The sequence below is a fragment of the Homo sapiens genome, chromosome 3, assembly GCF_000001405.40.
Source record: "Homo sapiens chromosome 3, GRCh38.p14 Primary Assembly".
Taxonomy (NCBI): Eukaryota; Metazoa; Chordata; class Mammalia; order Primates; family Hominidae; genus Homo; species Homo sapiens.
The window spans coordinates 16,586,100-16,606,663 of record NC_000003.12 but is presented as its reverse complement, the minus strand read 5'-3'; the positions used below and the strand labels follow the sequence as shown (position 1 = coordinate 16,606,663).

At 36.5% G+C, this 20,564-nt stretch overlaps 1 protein-coding gene across 2 annotated transcripts; it reads left to right on the top strand.

Moving 5' to 3' along the window:
- DAZL (deleted in azoospermia like) lies at nucleotides 1,241–19,872 on the top strand. Of its 2 annotated transcripts, none has more exons than NM_001351.4 (11): nucleotides 1,241–1,461; nucleotides 8,066–8,212; nucleotides 8,486–8,577; nucleotides 9,123–9,174; nucleotides 9,613–9,676; nucleotides 9,775–9,914; nucleotides 11,279–11,350; nucleotides 12,081–12,131; nucleotides 12,896–13,009; nucleotides 14,516–14,614; nucleotides 17,951–19,872. In NM_001351.4, exons 1-11 carry the CDS (start codon nucleotides 1,459–1,461, stop codon nucleotides 18,002–18,004), a joined length of 888 nt encoding a protein of 295 aa, NP_001342.2. In that variant the 5' UTR covers nucleotides 1,241–1,458; the 3' UTR covers nucleotides 18,005–19,872. The 2 variants fall into 2 exon arrangements, with proteins under 2 accessions (NP_001342.2, NP_001177740.1); NM_001190811.2 differs by lacking the exon at nucleotides 1,241–1,461 and adding an exon at nucleotides 1,874–2,224.

Genomic DNA, 20,564 nt, shown 5'->3' with positions numbered 1-20,564 from the left:
CAGATCTCAAGTTACAGAGAGTAACAACACTTTGCCCACACCTAGGATGACCAATCCTTCTGGTTTCCTTAGGGACGTAGGAATTTCTCAGTGCTAAAATCATGTAAGTCCTGGGCAAACTAGTATGACTGGCTGCCCTACAGCCCAGCCCCCATATCCCGGGCAGGAGAAGAATCAGTTGAATAAGTCATTGCTCTGGTTTTCAGTTTATTTTTGGTACTTGGAATTTCCCTTCTTTTCTTATGGGTTTAGCTGCATATTGAAAATAAAACGTTTTATTTTAATCCCGCATTACTAGGTGTTAGTAATGAGATACTGCTCACGTTATAGAAGTCCACCGTTTTGCCAGCTCAAAAAGTAACATTTTAATGCTTTCCGTCAGTACAGAAGTGAAGTTTGTGGATAAAGGTCATAGCTACTTAGCCCTGTGTGTATAGCTAAGGTGCTGCAGTGGTTCCCGAAGTTACGTGATGGGCTCCACCAACTGGCCCACAGCTTGCTCCTGCTCTACGCCCGTATTCTGACCTTAAGAATGTTCTAGAATTCTCTAGGCAGGCCTAGCGCCTTCCTGTAAGGCCTGGAAGGTGAATTCTCCCATTAAAATGTAAGATCCCTGAGCAAACACATGTTCTGTTATTCTGTTCACTCCTGCATCTGCTGTACCTGGTAATCACAGGCACTCAGTAACTATTTCTTGAAAGAACAAACATCCTGAATGTCAAACTGGCATTTCCTCCCATCCAACCCCTTCTATCTCAAACTTGACAGAAAGGAGTGCAAGTTTCTGGCCTGTTGATGTCTCCTTCTGTTTTCCACAGACTTGCTTCGATTTATTTCTGTAGGCATTTAAAAAAGATTTTGGGGTGAGTGTGAAGCTAAAAGTGATGGCGCTAACCCTGTGCCTTAGAGAAGCCATTTGGAAACTGCAGCCTAGACACATTAGATTATCATTTTTGTAAACTATACCATACATTTCAGTATGCATACTTATTTTAGGGGTGTTTTGGGGGTGATGTGTGTGTCTGTGGGTCTATGTGAGCGCGGCGCCTTCCTGGGACTGAGGCACCGGACCTGCGCACACGCGCTGCGTACCCTACGCCCCCGCCGCGTGGGCGCCGTCGTCCCCCGCAGCCCCCCCACGCAGGGGGCGGGGCGCTGCCACCCATTGGCTGAGGCCGATACCACGCGCCCCGATACCCGGCGCAGGAGCCACCTCCCTGAGCCCCGCGGACCACGCCTCAGTCCGCCTGCGCTCCTCAGCCTGACGGTCCGCCTTTCGGGGCTCCTCAGCCTTGTCACCCGCTCTTGGTTTTCCTTTTCTCTTCATCTTTGGCTCCTTTGACCACTCGAAGCCGCGCAGCGGGTTCCAGCGGACCTCACAGCAGCCCCAGAAGTGGTGCGCCAAGCACAGCCTCTGCTCCTCCTGGAGCCGGTCGGGAACTGCTGCCTGCCGCCATCATGGTGAGTTGAGGGAGAGGCCCGAGGGGCAAGGCTGGCGGAGTCTTCACTCGTGGGTGAAACTCGGCTCTGCAGGGTCGGAAAGTGAAGTCATCCTCGGCTTTCCTGTTTGGGGGGCACCTGCCTGGACGCACCACAGCCATGGCCCACAGAGTTGGGAGAGGCGGCCTGGCAGTGGCGCGGCCTACACAGAGAGGCAGGCGCGGGACGCCAAGGGCGGCAAGGTGGGGGTGGGCCCCGAGGACGCGCTGCCTCGCCGGCCACGTGCAAGGGCCACGGCCTTCTTGAGGCACCCATTTCCCGGTTCGGGTTCTCTACTGGCAGAGGTTTGGGGTGCGGGTTCCCCACCCCCGACTGCCCCACCCCGCCCCCACTCCCACGCGCTCCCCCACTCACGCGCCTCCGCCCCTCCCCCACTCCCACGCGCCTCCGCCCCGCCAGCCTCATTTCTGGCGCGCTCTCCCCGTGGCTCCGCAAGATGGCGGCGGGCCTGCTGAGGGACTTGCCTTCTTAAACTTCGAGGGCCGGAGCTTCCTTAGGAAGTGGTTCCCTCCTGGTCCCTGTACTTGGTGGGGTGGGCGGGGTTCGTGGGGGCCTCAGCGTGGGGTGTGGGGCGTCCTGAAGGCATGGCCCTGTAGCTGAGGGGGCTGGGCCGGAAGTGCCTCTGGTCCCCTCGCGCCTGTCAGCTGCGGGGGACTTGCTGATGGCGGCTCCCTCGTGTGGCGGCGACAGAAAAGCTCGCCTGACGCCATCTTTGCCGCACGAGGTTGGTTTCAGCAGTTACCATTAAGAATTTTAGAATTTTTAAATTCTGGGTACGGTTTTTTCCCTCTCGATAAACCAGGATCCTTTGACAAAATGTCCATTTGGTAGATAGCGTTGGGTGTGCGTTTTTGTGAGTTTGGTAAATGCCTAGCGTTGCTTCAGCGCCACCACAAGATGCAGCTCTGAACACGCAGACCAACCACTGAGTCACGAACGCGCGTATTACATGCTGTGTGTGTGTCTGCATTGATAATTCTCAGTCTCTTCAGGGAGGAAATTTATACACAGTTTATATTACCATGTATAAACATTAAAATAAAAATAAACACCTATTATGTGTAATTGTGCAACATATAGTTATCCATGCTAATAAAAAGTAATCACCTTGAGTTGTAAGTAATTATTTATTATAACACTTTTCATTTTTAGAGTTAAATCCGAATTGTTTCATTGGATTATTTTTCTGATTATAAAAGTATCATATTTACTCATTTGAAAACAATCGCTGTAAGAAAATAGCAATCCATCTTAATCCCAACACTTATAACCGTTAAATTTTGGTACATGTATGACCTTCTAGATTATTTTTATGCATGTATTGCATATAGATGGGCCAACTTTTACAAGAGTTACACCGTGCTGCATAATACTATTTTACAACTTGCATCTTTCAATTGATGTGGGCATTGTTCTGAAGATAATTTTAATTTTCAGTATATGTTAAAAATTATACCATTATTTTACCGAATTCGCTTATGATGAATACTTTTTCAATATTAAAACAATACTATCATGGGCTGGGCGCGGTGGCTCACGCCTGTAATCAATCTCTTTAGGAGGCTGAGGCGGGTGGATCACTTGAGGTCAGGAGTTCGAGACCAGCCTGGCTAATACGGCGAAACCCCATCGCTACTAAAAACAGAAAAATTTGCCAGGCGTGGTGGTGCGCACTTGTAATCCCAGCTACTCGGGAGGCTGAGGCAGGAGAATCACTTGAACCTGTGAGGCAGGTTGCAGTGAGCTGAGATCATGCCACTGCACTCCAGCCTAGGCAACAAAGAGGGGAGGCTCAGTCTCAAAAAAAAAAAAATGCTATGAATATCCTTGTGTAAATATCTTGGCATGCTTGTATTATTAATTCCTTGAGATGAATTGCTGTAAGTGGAATTGCTGGGTGAAAGCGCTTTACCCCTTTGGTAACAATTTTAAGTTACACCCCTCATTAGTATAGTGATGAGTATCCTCGCCTATCAAATTATGATACATCTTTTCCAAGCTACTCTTGGTGTAAAGAATGTATCAGTATTTTCCCACTGATGGTGTGTAGAGTGATCTCTTTTCCACACCCTTTCCAATGAAAGGTATTAGGATTTTTTGAATTGTCAACCTAATAGCTGGAAAATATTTTACTATGTTGATGTGCACTTTTAAAAATCATCAATGAAGTTGATCGATCATTAGCTTTTTAAACTTCCTTTTTATTTTTATTTGTATTGATTCATAAAGACTGTATTAATGTTCACCTTTGTCATACATAGTGGAAAAAAATACATAGTAGTAATAAGGAGGTGCCCTTACCTTATTCCTAATTTCAATGGAGATGACTCTAGTATTTCACTTTAAGCTTAATGATAGGGTAGAATTAGATTGATAGAAAATAAGATGTCTCTATTTCTGTTTTACTTGGATATTTAGATAATTTAAAAATGAATGCTGTATTTTGTCAAATGCTTTTTCAGTGGTGAGTTAAAGTAACAATATCCTGTGAAGTATTCTTGCATTTCCAATATAAACTATATTCTTTATATACTGCTGGAATTTTGCATTTGTGTTGAGGGCAGGGATGGCTCATCTTGATGAGGCTTTGTTACTTATATGCTGTTAGCTTTGTAAAATGCGTTGAGAAATACTTTTTTCCTCTTTGAAAATTGAAGAAAAGTGTTTGAATTTTTTAATCTCCTCTTCTGTGTTTTCTGTCTTTATTTCTGGTGTCTGATGTGTATGTGCACCTCTCTCTGACACAAACATACACCCAAGTTATCTATTTCTTTACAAGTTGAAAAAACTCCCACGGAAACTGAGCCAGGTATCATTAGGTGTTTTTTCTCAAGATTGTTTTGTAAAAATTTAAATTTCTCTACAAGTTTGTCATGTCGTTGATTTCCAAATTTATTTCTATAGAGTTTATGCATAGCATTGTTTTATAATCTGTGGTCATAACCCATTTCTCAGGTCTCATATATCCTTTTGCTTTCTTGCCTTTTCTTGCTTAGTTTTGCCAGGATTGTTTATTGCTTGAATTTCATCCTCCCCACCCCCAACTCCCCAAGAATCTACTCTTGGATTTACTTAAAGTTTTGATTCTGATTTTCATGTCATATTTTCTTAATTTTAGCATTCTCTTTATTCGTTCCTTCCTATTGGTGTGAACGTAACTTTGATAACTACAAATTATAGCCTTTTTCCTGGTCAGTTTATATAAATCTCAGTTTGCTTTCATGTTCACATAGTAATTGAATTAGATAATACTGTGAAAGAAGCTGACATCCCAGGAGTTACATAATAATTTTTTCCAGCTTTTAGCTGTCTTTGTCACTTGGTTGTCCAAATATAACAAGGAATATGTTTGCTATAAATAACAATGAGAGTTGTGTATATGATGGTCTTGAAGCTCACCCGTTTACTATTCCAACATTTCTCATTTCAAAATTCACCAACTCACTTGAAGGTATGATTAAGAAAATTACTTCTTTAATGCAGTTTGTTTTCAGGATGCTATTGACAGTTACGATGGTACTTTCTTTAAAATTAAGCTTTTGCTTATCCTAAGCATTCATTTATATTTTTGGCCACGGTTTCACCAAAGTTTGTCTATTGATTGTGGATTTTTATATATACATTATAATTATGTATAAATACAGTAGGAATTTAACAACCCTTGCTAATCAAGCCGTGGTAAAAATGAAGTACATTGCTTACTTTGTTAGCTTTGAGCGCCACCTGCTGGCTGAGAACTAGGACATGATGGTGCCTCCTTAATTTAAGATGTTATTACGCTATTAAAGTGATCCTATGAATTTTATATTTACGATTCCAGTTAAGCAGGCAGCCAGTTTGTAAGATCCAAGCCAAAGTCAGACTTCCTAATAATATCAAATGCCTCTTTTCCTCTTTACCAAACTACTGTTGTCGCCAAGTATCCGTTTTACTCTTGTATAGGGTATGAGAATTAGAAGAGACACCAGAGATCTTTTCCAACCATTCATTTTCAAGCAAGGAAACTGAGGTCCTGAAAAGACTTACTTTACTGAACAATGGAAATCAGGTTCTTCCCAAACAATAATTTTCCTCCTCAATTCTTGTGGCACTGTCACAAGGTTTCTTAACCACACCCTATTCAAATTTTGGACCAAATAGTTCCTTGTTGTAGGAAGCTTTCTTTGCATTGTAGGATGTGCAGTAGTATTCCTGGCCTTCAGCCCATCAGATGCCAGGAATACACCTCAGTTGTGACAAGCAATCTCTAAACGTTGTTAAATGCCCCCAGGGCTCAAAAATCTTCCCCAGTTGAGAATCAATGCATTATCATGACCTCTTATAATCTGACACAGTTTTCTGCCAGATGTTACACTTCTAAATTAAAATACATCCAAACACTGTGATGCAGAGACAATACTGTATATATAGCTTGTTTATCAAAGAAAAACATATCCAAAGTTCATCCACAAATCAAGGGGGAATTGAAAAGGAGAAAAAACTACAAGAATTTCAGAATTTATTTTGTTTTGTTTTATTCTGTTTGGGATTTCTGAATGAACTGAGAAGGGATTGGTAAATTGTCTGTAGGGGGGAAATCTAATCAGGTTCCTAATAGTTCAAGATACGCAGCTTAATGTCATTTAGAAAAACAACGTAAGACATTTTTAGAAAGGAAAAACTGTAGAAATAGTTTTTAAATTTTTCTTCCACATCATTGTCATGAAATACCACTATTAAAAGAAAGAATTAGGAATTATTTACAAACCCAAAATAGCAAGTATAAGCACAAACGAATAGAGAAAAGCAATAAACTCAGCTTTAGTTGATTTGACAATTTAGATTTCATCTCTAGTAAAGCTGTGTAGAATCAGTAACTTCTAGCATCTAATTAACAAAGCAGGAACTCTACTTTCTTATTAATTCCTATAAAATTACTGTGCTTTTCAAAAAGATAACAGTTGCTTTCTTTTGTCTTGTTTTCTTTCAGACAGGTATATGTGTAATAGCTTTCTCTTTTGCAGCTTTTTGTAGTTACCTTTTGTAGTCAACAGGCACTTCACCAATGATTTTTAAATTAATGATGTTTCATAGTTTCCTGATGTTTCAATTCGTTCTTAATTAAAAGTATCTTCAAGATAAGTCAGCTAAAATAGTAAAGCCAAAAAAGAAACTTGAAAAAAAATCTGAAAATAAATTCAAATAACAGGACACTAACTTATATTGATATACCACTTTATACTTTACAAAATGAATTCACAGATGTTATCTCATTTCCTTCTCAAAGCAGTTTGCCCAGAGATACACGGCTGGCAAGTAAGTGGCTTGTAACCACTTACCTGTAAGGGACATAAACCTAGATCTCCTGACTAAATTAATTTTTGTTTCACTCTGCTATATTGCTTCTCCAACATATATATTACTTACAAATTCTACTTCAGAAAATTTTACATTAGCCTTAGAGTCTACTGCGGAAAGAATAAAGACAGTTCTGATCAAAATCCAGAAAAAATGAGTTATATGTGTGTTTCTTTATCTGAAAATAAAGATGGTATAATTTATATCTGCCTACTGTGATAATTAGAATTATCAGTGGGACTGATTTGGTGTTAGGAAGAAAAATGTTATTTCAAAAAATGATTTGAACACCCTAGCATTAGGGAAGAGGATTATAATCCTTTTTTTAGAAGGAGCTGTGACATGTGAGCAAATAATGTTTCCATGATCCATTTCCAAAGTAAAGCAGGCATACTAACACAGCGTTAAAATTGTAAAAATTCATGTTAATTTTGGTGAAAAAGGCGAAGCAGGACAAATTGGTTTAAAACTTTGAGGCTTATTTTCTTTTTGATGTGGCTTTTTGGAGTTTTTTAATATTTGTCATCCTTTTTATTAGTGTACTCAGTAAAATGAAAAGTTGTTTATGAATATAGAACAGGATGATTTTAATTTTGATTTTTACAAATCTGAACTTTCCAATTTTGGGTTTGTTTTTTTTTTAAGTAATTCACATAGTATTTTCACAAATACTAAGTATTCTTCCACAGCATTGTGCAAGACTCGGTAATGAGCAATACTGGGTTTAAGAAAGTACTGTATCCTGGCTGCGCGTGGTAGCTCACGCCTGTAATCCCAGCACTTTGGGAGGCCAAGGCGGGTGGATCACCTGAGGTCGGGAGTTCGAGACCAGCCTGGCCAACATGGAGAAACCCCATCTCTACTAAAAATACAAAATTAGCCGGGCGTGGTGTCGGGCGCATGTAATCCCAGCTACTCAGGAGGCTGAGGCAGGAGAATCGCTTGAACCTGGGAGACAGAGGTTGCAGTGAGCCGAGATCACGCCATTGCACTCCAGCCTGGGTGACAAGGGCGAGACTCTCTCAAAAAAAAAAAAAAAGTACTATATCCTTTCATTAAAATTTCATGCTGATCTACTCTGATAAGTTTAAATCCTGAGCCTGAACTAACTTAGAATGAAAGTAATTTATATAAAATATTTTATACTTAAAATACAAAAATTATATTTCACATTATGTATAGGTTTTTCCTGTGTATCTAATTATGATGTCTACTTTCCAAATTACAGTCTACTGCAAATCCTGAAACTCCAAACTCAACCATCTCCAGAGAGGCCAGCACCCAGTCCTCATCAGCTGCAACCAGCCAAGGCTATATTTTACCAGAAGGCAAAATCATGCCAAACACTGTTTTTGTTGGAGGAATTGATGTTAGGGTATTGTATTCATACCTCATTTTTACCTTGAAATGCATTATGAATAATGGGATTTGGGCCCTGTTACAAACTTAAGGTTTTTTTGTACTTCATGGAGGTTTAGAATTGGTTTTACATTTGACCCATAGGTACTAAAAATATCTTTGACAAAGAGCTACTGGTCATTTGGGGATAAATGGGGGAGAAATTGTCACATCATCGAACCTTCTTTTAGTAAAATTAAAATTTTTGAATGCTGAATTTTTACTCTTGAAGTTCAATTCTTTTCCATAGATGGATGAAACTGAGATTAGAAGCTTCTTTGCTAGATATGGTTCAGTGAAAGAAGTGAAGATAATCACTGATCGAACTGGTGTGTCCAAAGGGTGAGTAATTTTATCAAAAATATCTGAACTCTAGCCACGTATAGAGTATCAGAGAAGACTTCAAAATTGGTATTCTGACACTTAACATAAATTTGTTGCTGTGTTAATTTCTTTCATGTAGAGGATAAAAGTTTATTGCCAGCTCTTTTAATCATTTTTCTAATGTTTGTTTTTGAATATCTTCAATCTTTATTTCATACAAATGAATTAATCAGTTTTCTCAAAGAACTGTTTTCTTCATACATTGCACAGTATCTTAAATTTTAACCACCTTGTCTTAGATAGTAAGTTAAATTCAGGTTCATGGATATGAATTCTTTGTTAATCAATGAAGTTTTCACACTACCCTAATCTTAGCACATTTTGATTGACATAGTTCAGATGAAGAAAAAGCAGTATTTGTAGAGGATCTATCATGTACATCTTAAATATTTAGCATAGTATATTATTCATATTTTAGTCATGATCACTTCCGTATATAGTAGAAGTTCTGAACCATGTACTGTATGATGGTGATTTTATACTTCATTTATCTGCCTTTATAGCTATGGATTTGTTTCATTTTTTAATGACGTGGATGTGCAGAAGATAGTAGAAGTAAGTAATCTAATAGAAAAATCTCATTTGTTTAATTGATACAATGTTTAGTGTCAAGTGATATACTCAGTCTTGTGTAAAATTTGGAAGACGATACACTTTCTGGTCAAAAAAATCCAAACTTAGAGGAATCTTACATAACTTGTTAGAACCTGTTTATTTTTGACTGGGCACCTAGGTTCATGAACTACAGACAGGAAGGGTTGGAGACAGGGCAGGGTAATGAAAAGTTTTTGATCAACTTTCACTTGATGCCTCTTGACACTGATTAGAGAAATAAGGGTAAGGTAGCTTCATGATGACAAATTTTAATTTGGTGTGTAGTTATCACTGATCTTCTATGATAATAGGAATTTTAGAAGACTTTAGGTGTTCATCCAAGTCTTGGAAGTAAAGACTTGAAAATTGATTCTAGTTTTGTTACTGTTTTATTTTCAGTCACAGATAAATTTCCATGGTAAAAAGCTGAAGCTGGGCCCTGCAATCAGGAAACAAAATTTATGTGAGTACAAAAAGAAATTGTTCTTTTTAAACATAAAAGAAATTGTGTAGCTTTTCAAAGAACTAAAAATAGGCCTTTTCTTTTTGCTTTTCAAAAAGGTGCTTATCATGTGCAGCCACGTCCTTTGGTTTTTAATCATCCTCCTCCACCACAGTTTCAGAATGTCTGGACTAATCCAAACACTGAAACTTATATGCAGCCCACAACCACGATGAATCCTATAACTCAGTATGTTCAGGTAAGAATTGCTTAACGTTCCTATTCTCTTGTTTATTGTAGTCATCGTACCTTCTGTGGAATTACATCCAATTTCTGTAGTAAGTGGTAATGGCATCCCTGTTTGAATACTTTGAGTGATGGGAAATTTATTACTTTTGTTAGAAATTTCTTATTCTTAGTGTTGTTCTTTATATGAGCTAAAGATCTTCTGTATACTTTGTCTTTATCTTAGAAATGACCTCTGTAGACACATGAAGAAATCTCTTCCTTTTTCCCCCCATATAACTAGTTCCTAAAGCATTTGAAAGCAGCTATCGTTATGTGTCTGTCTAGTATATTCTTCTCTAAGGTTAGCAAATCATCTAGCTATTCTTTATTTGCAATGATTTCCAGATGCCTCCTCATATAAATTGCTGACTTCTGGATATATTCTGGTTCTGGAATGGGTAGATTTCTGATGTGTTTTACTATGTAAATCCTGTGAGTTTCTGGCATATAATTTCTCTGATCTTGGTTACTTTGATATTTAAAGTAGGATTTGACATACTATCACTTACTGGTGGTAAATAACATTTTCTTCTTAGTTCATTTTATTTAACGATTTAGTTTAAAAGACATTGTCTTTGCTGGAAAATAAAGTAGCAAAACAGGAGTGAAATAGTTCTTCAGTGTCTTTCATTCATTGACATTTTCCATGTACTTGAAATGTGTAGGGTGTACCTCCTCTTCTTTCTCCTTCTCTGAACAATGGCTAGAAAAAAAAAAGCCCTACTTGTTTCTAACATTTACTGTGAGTCATTACTGCATCTGGGTGTATTCGTGTATGCTGCCACCTATATGTTTTCAATCAGTAGCTATTTATTGAAAAATATAAGACATTATACTGTTTCTTTTCCAGTTTTGGATTATATACAGCCCTTAGTTCTTCGAAATGAAGTACAGAAAAAGCCATAGCATCTGTAGGAGGACTACATATTACCCTATAATATTGTCAAACACAAAACTGTCTAGAAGTATTTTGACAAAGAAATAGCAAATGTATTAATTTAACTTACATTGAAGTCTGTCTGAATAGAGCCTTATCACCAGTATAAAAAATAACTTCTGGGTGGGAATAAGTACACAGTATAAATATGATAAACTTTGCCTGTTGAAATAGTCACTTCTTTTGTCATTTGTCTGTTCCCCCTCCCCACCCAAAGGGTAACACTTGACAGAGAATATTTCTTTCTTCATAAAGTCAGTCATGCATTTAGAATTCTGCATTGTTGTATATAGAAAAATATTTTAAAAGTTTTCATATTTTTGTTATATTGGGAATAATATTTCTAATTTTAAAAAATGTTTTATATTATTCATTCTTTCTGTAAACTTGATTTTCAGGCATATCCTACTTACCCAAATTCACCAGTTCAGGTCATCACTGGATATCAGTTGCCTGTATATAATTATCAGGTAATTTAAAAGGGAGTAAAATGATTTACTTTCAGATTTTATTGAGGCCTTTAACTTGTTTATACAAATTGTCTGAATGGTTTGTCATTTTAAACTAGTGAAATGTACCTAAAATTTAAGAAAAAAATTAGTCTAGAATTAAGACCTCTTTATTATTTAGAAGTAATGGAATAATATTTTGACAGGGATATACTTAGCAATAACTTTTCTCTACAACAGTTTTATGAGATTCGGTGTCCCCTTCTGTATTTCAGCATGTATTTTTTCATCTTTGCTGTCAAATAGCCGAAACAGCCAGACGGACTTTCATCAATTTTTTAGGGAGATAGAGTGAAATAAAATTATCCAATTCTTAGAGCACAGAATTCAAATTGTATTTTTATTTTAGCTGACTGCTTCATGATAGTAGTTCTTTGAGACTCTTTACATAGATATGACTGTATCTGTGACCCATAATCATATCTATGGTAATAAATTCAAGGAACTAATATCTCTGAGATTTCCACAATGCCAACTCCAGAAAATTGGGAAAAAGGTGAGGTTTTATATATGGAAGTAACAAGAACATCAGGGATTAGAAACATAAAGTACTTTTTTTTCATTCTGTTTCTTTTATTATAACAACAAAGGAGCCAGCATGATAAGTACTTCAATATTGTGTATCTCGTGTGTTTTTGAAAATTTGTAGGAATATTTGAATAATTTTGGTTTCCTTTTTTTTTTTTTTAAGATGCCACCACAGTGGCCTGTTGGGGAGCAAAGGAGCTATGTTGTACCTCCGGTAAAGTGAATTAGCCAAACATATAATTCCTGTTATTTTAAAGTATTTTTTTTTGTTTAACTATATTTCTTGATTGTTTTCCATGTCATATATGCCTATATTTTTAAATAGTTTTTTGTATTAATGTGTTACATTTTGTTACTTTCTTTTTAACCCAGTTAGAAACTCCCATGGGAGCAACAGTGCCTTCTTCTCTCAGGTTTTTGTGTGCTTAAGCAATGGCTGGTCCACATAATGATAAGTGTTCAGTTACTTGTTGATAGACTATATAATTCAGGAAAGGTAGTATTAATGTGGCTTTAGAATTAGCATGTATCTGCCTAGACTCTGCCTCTGGCTTTACCAGCCATAAAAAAAACTGTTGAAGAGGAACAGAAATGTTTTGCTGTTAATTACTGTTAAATAAAAATAGGAATAAAACAAGAGTATTACGTCTAAAACACCCAAGCTGCTGTCTTTTATCAGGATTGGAAATTTGAAGGATATAATAAGTGTTAAAATTCTCAAACACTCTCTTACTACATTAGTTTCTTAGAGTTCTTCTACTTCTGATTATGTTGATGCCTTAAAGACATTCTAAAACAGAAGGCTGCCTTACTGTATTTCAACTGTTCATTTAAAACAAAGTTTTTGAAATAATATAATTGAATTTCAACACAACCTACATTGAAACTTTTGATACCAGCTTAGCTTTTTGAAGAATAAGTGGCTTTTAAATATATCTGTATATCTGTTTAATTACACTTTCATTATTTTAAATATAGGCTTATTCAGCTGTTAACTACCACTGTAATGAAGTTGATCCAGGAGCTGAAGTTGTGCCAAATGAATGTTCAGTTCATGAAGCTACTCCACCCTCTGGAAATGGCCCACAAAAGGCAAACATCTAATTTTGTTTATATATATTTCATATTTATTTTTTCTAGTTTTAATAATGGTTTTTTGAGAAGCAATCATCCTTCAGCAGAAATTTGTAATTGAAAAGGTTAACTAGAGAAGAGTTAGTTGACTGGCTTGACCAAATAGTAAAAGAAAATTTTAGATACAGAAAGCAGATCTTGGCTGGGTGCAGTGGCTCACGCCTGTAATCCCAGCACTTTTTGGGGCTGAGATGGGTGGATTGCTTGAGCTCAGGAGTTCGAGACCACCCTGGGCAAGATAGGAGCCATAAATTATAGATCTTAAATAATTGACTAATATTCAGCAGTTAATGTAAAGGTTGGTGAAATTTCAGATAGCCCAAATTTTCAATGTATACATAAAGTTTCTGATTCAGCAGTCCTTTCCTATATTCCAGTTCCACTAATTTTTAAAAACCATACTTCAATAAATACTATATTAATAGGATTTGGCAGAATGTTATGGGAAGGTTTCCTCAAGAATTCTACTCTTCAAAAGAGGAATTGGTACGAATTACATGTACCTTTTCTTTTATAATTTTGATATTTACTTAAACAGTGAAACACATTACTTACGGCATTCTCTCTGTAACATTATATATGGCAGTAGTTCCCAACAGTGGTGAAGTCAGTAATAATTATTCAAATATTGAATTAGGCAGGGTTCTTTCTTCTTTTTATCATTAGAGCAAATTTCCATAATAATACTATCACTCTTGAATCACATATGTTCTCTTAAATGAGCGGGAGTGTAGAAGTAGTTGATGTGTTGGTAATATGTATAACACTGAAGTCCCATTGGAGTGTAAATTCCTTGATTTGATACTCGATTTTAAAATGCGAATAAATATTAAAATAGCTTACAGTGTAATTTTCAGGTTTTGTCCTGAATATTTTTTCTTGAAACATTGGAGTTCACTTAGGGATTTAACAAATTCAGCTTTTTAAACCAGTATTCTATCACTAAGGTTCTAAAATCTTTGTCAGAAAACTTGCATATTGAGTGATACGTGGTAAGAATTATGAATCACATTTTTATGAATTTCTTTTTTTTTTTTTTTCCCCAAGACAGAGTCTCGCTGTGTTGCCCAGGCTGGAGTGCAGTGGTGTGATCTTGGCTCACTGCAATTTCCACCTCCTGGATTCAAGCAATTCTCCCTGCCTCAGCCTCCTGAGTAGCTGAGATTACAGGCACCCGCCACTATGCCCAGCTGATATTTGTATTTTTTTAGTAGAGATGGGGTTTCACCATATTGGCCAGGCTGGTCTTGAATTCCTGACCTCAGGAGGAGGCAGGAATCCTCCTGCCTTGGCCTCCTAAAGTGCTGGGATTACAGGCGTGAGCCACCACTCCCAGTCTCTTTTAGCATTTTTTGCATTTCTTTAGAAATAAAGTAATATATTCATTAAACTATCAAAAAAAAACCCTTACTAAGAGTGAGTGAAAGAGTCGTCTTTACATTACTGAAAACTTCTGTGTTTCAGAAATCTGTGGACCGAAGCATACAAACGGTGGTATCTTGTCTGTTTAATCCAGAGAACAGACTGAGAAACTCTGTTGTTACTCAAGATGACTACTTCAAGGTATGAATATAACAGTTACGCACAATTAAAAAGCACACTTGTTAGCTTTAAAGTATCTGTTTTCCTTGTGGTATATGTATTTTGAGATTTCTTAGAGCATTTAATTAACTGTTGGCATTTGACTATAACACAGTAAACCAGAGTGGGTTTTACCTGGCAGTATATTTTCTGCTGCTGAACCTTGACATAATGTAGTTATCTTTAGGGAAGAATCCTTCAGCAGAAATTTGTAATTGAAAGGGTTAACTAGAGAAGAGTTAGTTGACTGGCTTGACCAAATAGTAAAAGAAAATTTTAGATACAGAAAGCAGATCTTGGCTGGGTGCAGTGGCTCACGCCTGTAATCCCAGCACTTTTGGGGGCTGAGATGGGTGGATTGCTTGAGCTCAGGAGTTCGAGACCACCCTGGGCAACATGGCAAAACCCCATCTCTACAAAAAATACAAAACTTAGCCAGTTGTGATGGTGCACGCCTGTAGTCCCAGCTACTTCAGAGGGAGGCTGAGGTAGGAGGATTGCTTGAGCCTGGGAAGTTGAGTCTGCATTGAGCCATGATTGTGCCACTGTACTCCAGCCTGGGCAACAGAGTGAGACCTTGTCTCAAAAAAAAAAAAAATACATGCATATTGGACTATAGAGAAGAAAAGAAATGGTTTACTCAGAAGATATACCTGAACAGTGTGAAGGGAGAAAAGGGGTAAAGTGAAGCAGTAAAATGTTGAGTAGAAAGAATTGGAGGTTGATTCAGACAGAGTTGGTAAAGTGGAAGAGAATGTGGGTAGTTGAATTCCAGAAAAATCTGATTTCTGATCCCGCCGTCTATCCATGTTGGATAGATAAATCTTATTAAGACTCCAGTTTTTACAAGTCTAAAATGAGAAGGTACAGGACTAAAGGTTTCTGGGTCCCTGTAGTTCTAAGTCTATGAATAGGAAAAAGAACTAACTTGGTCAGTCCAATGGGAGAGAAATATTACGGTTAGTAAAGGGAAGGTGTTTTTTAAATAATAGGTTTATTGAAATATATAATTGAGATACCAGTAATACAATTTACCTATTTAAAGTTTGCATTTCACTGGTTTTTCATATATTCAAAGTTGTGTAACCATGACCACAATCAATTTTAGAATACTTAAATCACCCCAAAAATCACCCCCCTACCTTAGCAGTCACCTGCTATTTTCCCCCATCCTGTGCAGCCCTAGGCAACCACTAATTTACTTACTTTCTCTAAGGATTTTCCTGTCCTGGACATTTCATGTATATGGAATCATACATAATGTGGCCTTTTGTGACCGGTTTTTTCAGTCAGCATAATATTTTCAAGGTTCATCAATATTCTAGCACGTATCAGAACTTCATTTCTTTTTATTTGTGGCTATTATTCATTCTGTTTATCCATTCATCTGTTAAAGACATTGGGATTATTTCCTCTTTTTAACTGTTAGAAATAATGCTGTGAACATTCATGTACAAGTTATTACGTGGACATATGTTCTTATTTCTCTTGCGTATATACTTGGGAATGGAATTGCTAAGTCATATTTAACCTTCAGTGGAACTGCCAGAATTTGTCAAAACTGGCTACACACTTTACATTCAAAAGGAAATGTTTAACCATCACTTTGTGTCTTAAAACAGAAAGACTAGCTTTTTTTTCATCTGTGAATGGATATAGGATGAAGCTTAAGCCTTTTTAAGGGGTTATTATTATGGATCTCCTGTATAATGTAGAAGAGTAGAGCCGTATAGCAGAATTAAGTTCTTAACATCTTCGCAACAGGGAGTAAACATACTTAAAGTTGACATTTGTTCTCTTGTTGCTTCATTCTACATAGATAGTATAATTTAGAAAAGAAGGAACTGAAATTGTATATCAGCTTACTTTGCCCAAAGTTCTGATGATTACATAGGTGTCTACAGTAGTACTTAAATGATTTTCAAAGCAGAAGATAGTCTTCTGTGGTTTTTTGTTTTTTTGAGGTGACCTCATTTAGTCACCTAGGCTGGATTGCAGTGTAACAATCACAGCTTACTACAACCTCAAACTCCTGACGCAAGGGATCCTTCTGCCTCAGCCTCCCAAATAGTTAGGACTACAGACATGCACCGCTACACTTGGCTAGTTAAAAAGATTTTTTTTTTTTTTTTAAGAGACAGAATCTTACTATATTGCCCCTGGCTGGTCTTGAACTCCTGGGCTCAAGTGATCCTCCTACCTCAGCCTCCCAAAGTGCTGGGATTACAGGCGTGAGCCACCATGCCCAGCCCAGAAGGAGTTTTGAAACTTGAGTTCTCACCTGGTATTAGACAAAAGACTCCCTTTAAACTCCCAGAGTTTTCTGCTTGTTTGGGAGACGAATCAGAAGTTGGCATCCTGTGGTTGTCTGACATCTAGACCTATTTTGATTGACTGCATGTTGTTGTATTGAATTTGAATGCATGAGGTATTTTTGAATGTATTTACTATTTCCATAGCTAATTCCACTCTTCACTGTCTTGATTCTGTAGTCCCTTCATAATCTTGTTTCCTGCGTGACCTGTGAAGATACATGTTGGTGACCAGTTTTCTAGATTTTAACTTAAATAGGATATCACTCTTTTGACAGATTAGGTAACTTCCAGAAGCCACTTTTATTTATATGACAGTGAAACTGAGGTCCTAGGAAAAGGGCACAGTTAACTTTGTAGAAAATAAAATGCTATTATGTTATTACTCATTTGCTTAGTCCCATTTCTCCTTTTAAGGCCTCTCACTTTTTTCTCTCTGCACATCTGTAGGCAACATAGAGTGAAAAGAAAGTTTTGCATGTATTTAAATTTTTTCTCTTTCTTTCTAAAGAATAATACATCTTCACAGGTTAATGATATGTCTTTAAATGCCAAAACTTACATCTTTTAACCTAAAAACATGAAATTTCAGATTGGAGAGCTGTTCACAAGCCGTGGTTCCTATTAGATGCAGTTCAGTCAGTGAAAACAGTATTTTTTAGAATTACATTTTCTACCAGCTGTCTTTGGGACATTACTGCAAAATCATTAATTAAGAAGTACATAAAATGATATTGAGTCTAAGTCCTGTTATTTCTGAGTTTAATGGGATTTCTTTTTTTTTAATTGATTTCTTTTTTAACTAAACTGTTTAATAAAACTAGCCATCCTGGTATATATGTTATCCCAGTGTTCAAGAATGCTTCTCAAAAAGAATAATCTTTTTTCTCATTATTTATAATGTTTAAACCCAAAACAAATGGTTTAAGTTTTTGACAACTTTCAGATCTATAGTAGTAATCAGAAATTTTCAGTAAAGTAAAAGGACTCTTTCTGTCTTTTCCAGGATAAAAGAGTGCATCACTTTAGAAGAAGTCGGGCAATGCTTAAATCTGTTTGATCCTCCTGGCTTATCTAGTTACATGGGAAGTTGCTGGTTTTGAATATTAAGCTAAAAGGTTTCCACTATTATAGAAATTCTGAATTTTGGTAAATCACACTCAAACTTTGTGTATAAGTTGTATTATTAGACTCTCTAGTTTTATCTTAAACTGTTCTTCATTAGATGTTTATTTAGAAACTGGTTCTGTGTTGAAATATAGTTGAAAGTAAAAAAATAATTGAGACTGAAAGAAACTAAGATTTATCTGCAAGGATTTTTTAAAAATTGGCATTTTAAGTGTTTAAAAGCAAATACTGATTTTCAAAAAAATGTTTTTAAAAACCTATTTTGAAAGGTCAGAATTTTGTTGGTCTGAATACAAACATTTCACTTCTCCAACAAGTACCTGTGAACAGTACAGTATTTACAGTATTGAGCTTTGCATTTATGATTTCTCCAGAAATTTACCACAAAAGCAAAATTTTTAAAACTGCATTTTTAATCAGTGGAACTCAATATATAGTTAGCTTTATTGAAGTCTTCTTATCTAAACCCAGCAAAACAGATTCAAAGCGAACAGTCCAATCAGTGGGTCATATGTTTATTCAAAATATTTTATCTTTTAGCTAGAATCCACACATATATATCCTATTTGATTAGGGTAGTAATTAGGATAACTAAAATTCTGGGCCTAATTTTTTAAAGAATCCAAGACAAACTAAACTTTACTAGGTACATAAGCTTCTCAATGAGTCACCATTCTTCTTTTTTGTAAAAACTTTTTTCTTTGAAATGCTAAACTTGGCTGTATGTCAAATTGTGCAAAATATTGGTATTAAAGAATGCTGCAACTTTTTTATGTCTCTTAGAGGTTAATCAGAGTATCTGAAGGGAATTGTTTTTATAAAAACATTGAAATATTAGTTACTTGCTATAAATAGATTTAGTCTGTTATATTTCCTTTTGTAAAGTAAAATATGTCCAGAAGAGTCAAAGTAGTTAGTTTTGGTTATTTCTAAACCACAAAAGTTGTTTAATAAGTATATCTTAAGAATGTGCTAGAGTTAAAAGTTAGCATTGTTTCTAGATTAGCTGGTGTCTTCATTTTACATTGTGACAAACAGCTAGAGCATCAGAGCCCTTTTGCTATACCACAGTCTTTCGTTTCCAGCCTTTGTCACTAGTCTTTGAGGAGGTTTGCTCCTAGAACTGGTGATATAAAGAATGAAAGTAGCTGTATGAGCAGAGCAGTTCAAGGGCCAAACCCTGGAACGGTAGCAATGGGATATAATACCTTTCTAAGGGAAAAAGTTGTATCAGTACCATTTGATCTGCCATGGACATGAGTTTAAAGCGGCTTTCTGGCCCTTCTTTCAGTGACTTCTTCCCTAAAATGTAGAAATTCTAACTTAATGTAGTTACTGTGAGCCATATTACTAGTGCCCCCTAGGGTCTATAATTCCTTAAAATTTTCATTCTGAATCTGAAGGAGAGAGTCTTTTAACTTTAGAATTCCCAAGAGGGCTTTATTACACCTCAGAAATTGAAAGCACTATGAATTTGTCCATTTAAAAATGATCTGTAGTTTTTTTGGTGCTATAACATTCTGACACATATCATTCTGTGATTAAATCTCCAGCTTACTATAAATGATATCTATATTCTAAAGAGCTACTTCTAATTATTCCAATATGACCTTAAGGAAAAGTAAGGGAATAAATTTTTGTCTTTGTTGGAGTGAAGCATTTAAAAGAGTAAGGGTAAAAAAGATAAAGTCCTGAACCTTTCAAAATGGAAAATTAATTCTAAACTTAGAAATATGCTTCTGCCTATTGCTGATACTGTCTTTGCATACATGAATAAAAATAAAGTTTTTTTCTTCAAAAGTGTTTTTAGCATTCTGATGTAATAATCTAAAATGGTGGGGAGTTGGGTGGGAACTGTGTAACAAGATTTAGATTCTTAAAATGCAAAAGTATAAAGTTCAATTTACTGATCTGGCAAAGTTAGGTCATAAAAGCAAATTCAGGTACAAAGAGAAATTTAAGAGATGCATGAACAGCAGTGCCGAGTAGGAATGCTGATGAACACATCTGACTCTGCTATCTCATGGCTAAGGTCCCTCTCAATTTGGACCCTATGAAACATTTTGTCTACTGTACGCTTTGGGCCTAATCTCTAGACCTTTTATTTCGGGGTATTGCGGTTGCCTAATAGAGCTTAAATTTTTTGTATTGCATGTACTTCTTATGGATGCAATCAAAAAAAAATCAGTACTTACTACCTCTTCCAGCTGTAGTTCTAGTACTCCCAATTCTATAAGCTGAGCCCAGTGGAGAGGAAATTCTCCCCTCAGACACTGCTTCTATATTTCATCATTTAGTAAGCTTACTGATTCATAACCAGAAAGTTGACTCCAAGGTTCTGCAGGATACCAAACAGTGCTTTCTGCATCACCAAAGATTAAATTGTGATGTTTAATGTCTAATAATAGGCTAAAAATTAGTAATTCTTAAATGTGTATATGTGTATATATGTATACATATGTGTGTCTGTATATGCGTATATCTATGGTTAC

What these genes read in the sequence shown, in the direction of transcription:
- DAZL (NM_001190811.2), top strand. Translation starts at nt 2,162, where the DNA reads ATGGCGGCTCCCTCGTGTGGCGGCGACAGAAAAGCTCGCCTGACGCCA. An exon ending in CGAACTGGTGTGTCCAAAGG is followed by an intron (nt 8,578 to 9,122) that starts GTGAGTAATTTT and finishes CTGCCTTTATAG; the next exon opens with CTATGGATTTGTTTCATTTT. An exon ending in GGAGCTATGTTGTACCTCCG is followed by an intron (nt 12,132 to 12,895) that starts GTAAAGTGAATT and finishes TTTTAAATATAG; the next exon opens with GCTTATTCAGCTGTTAACTA.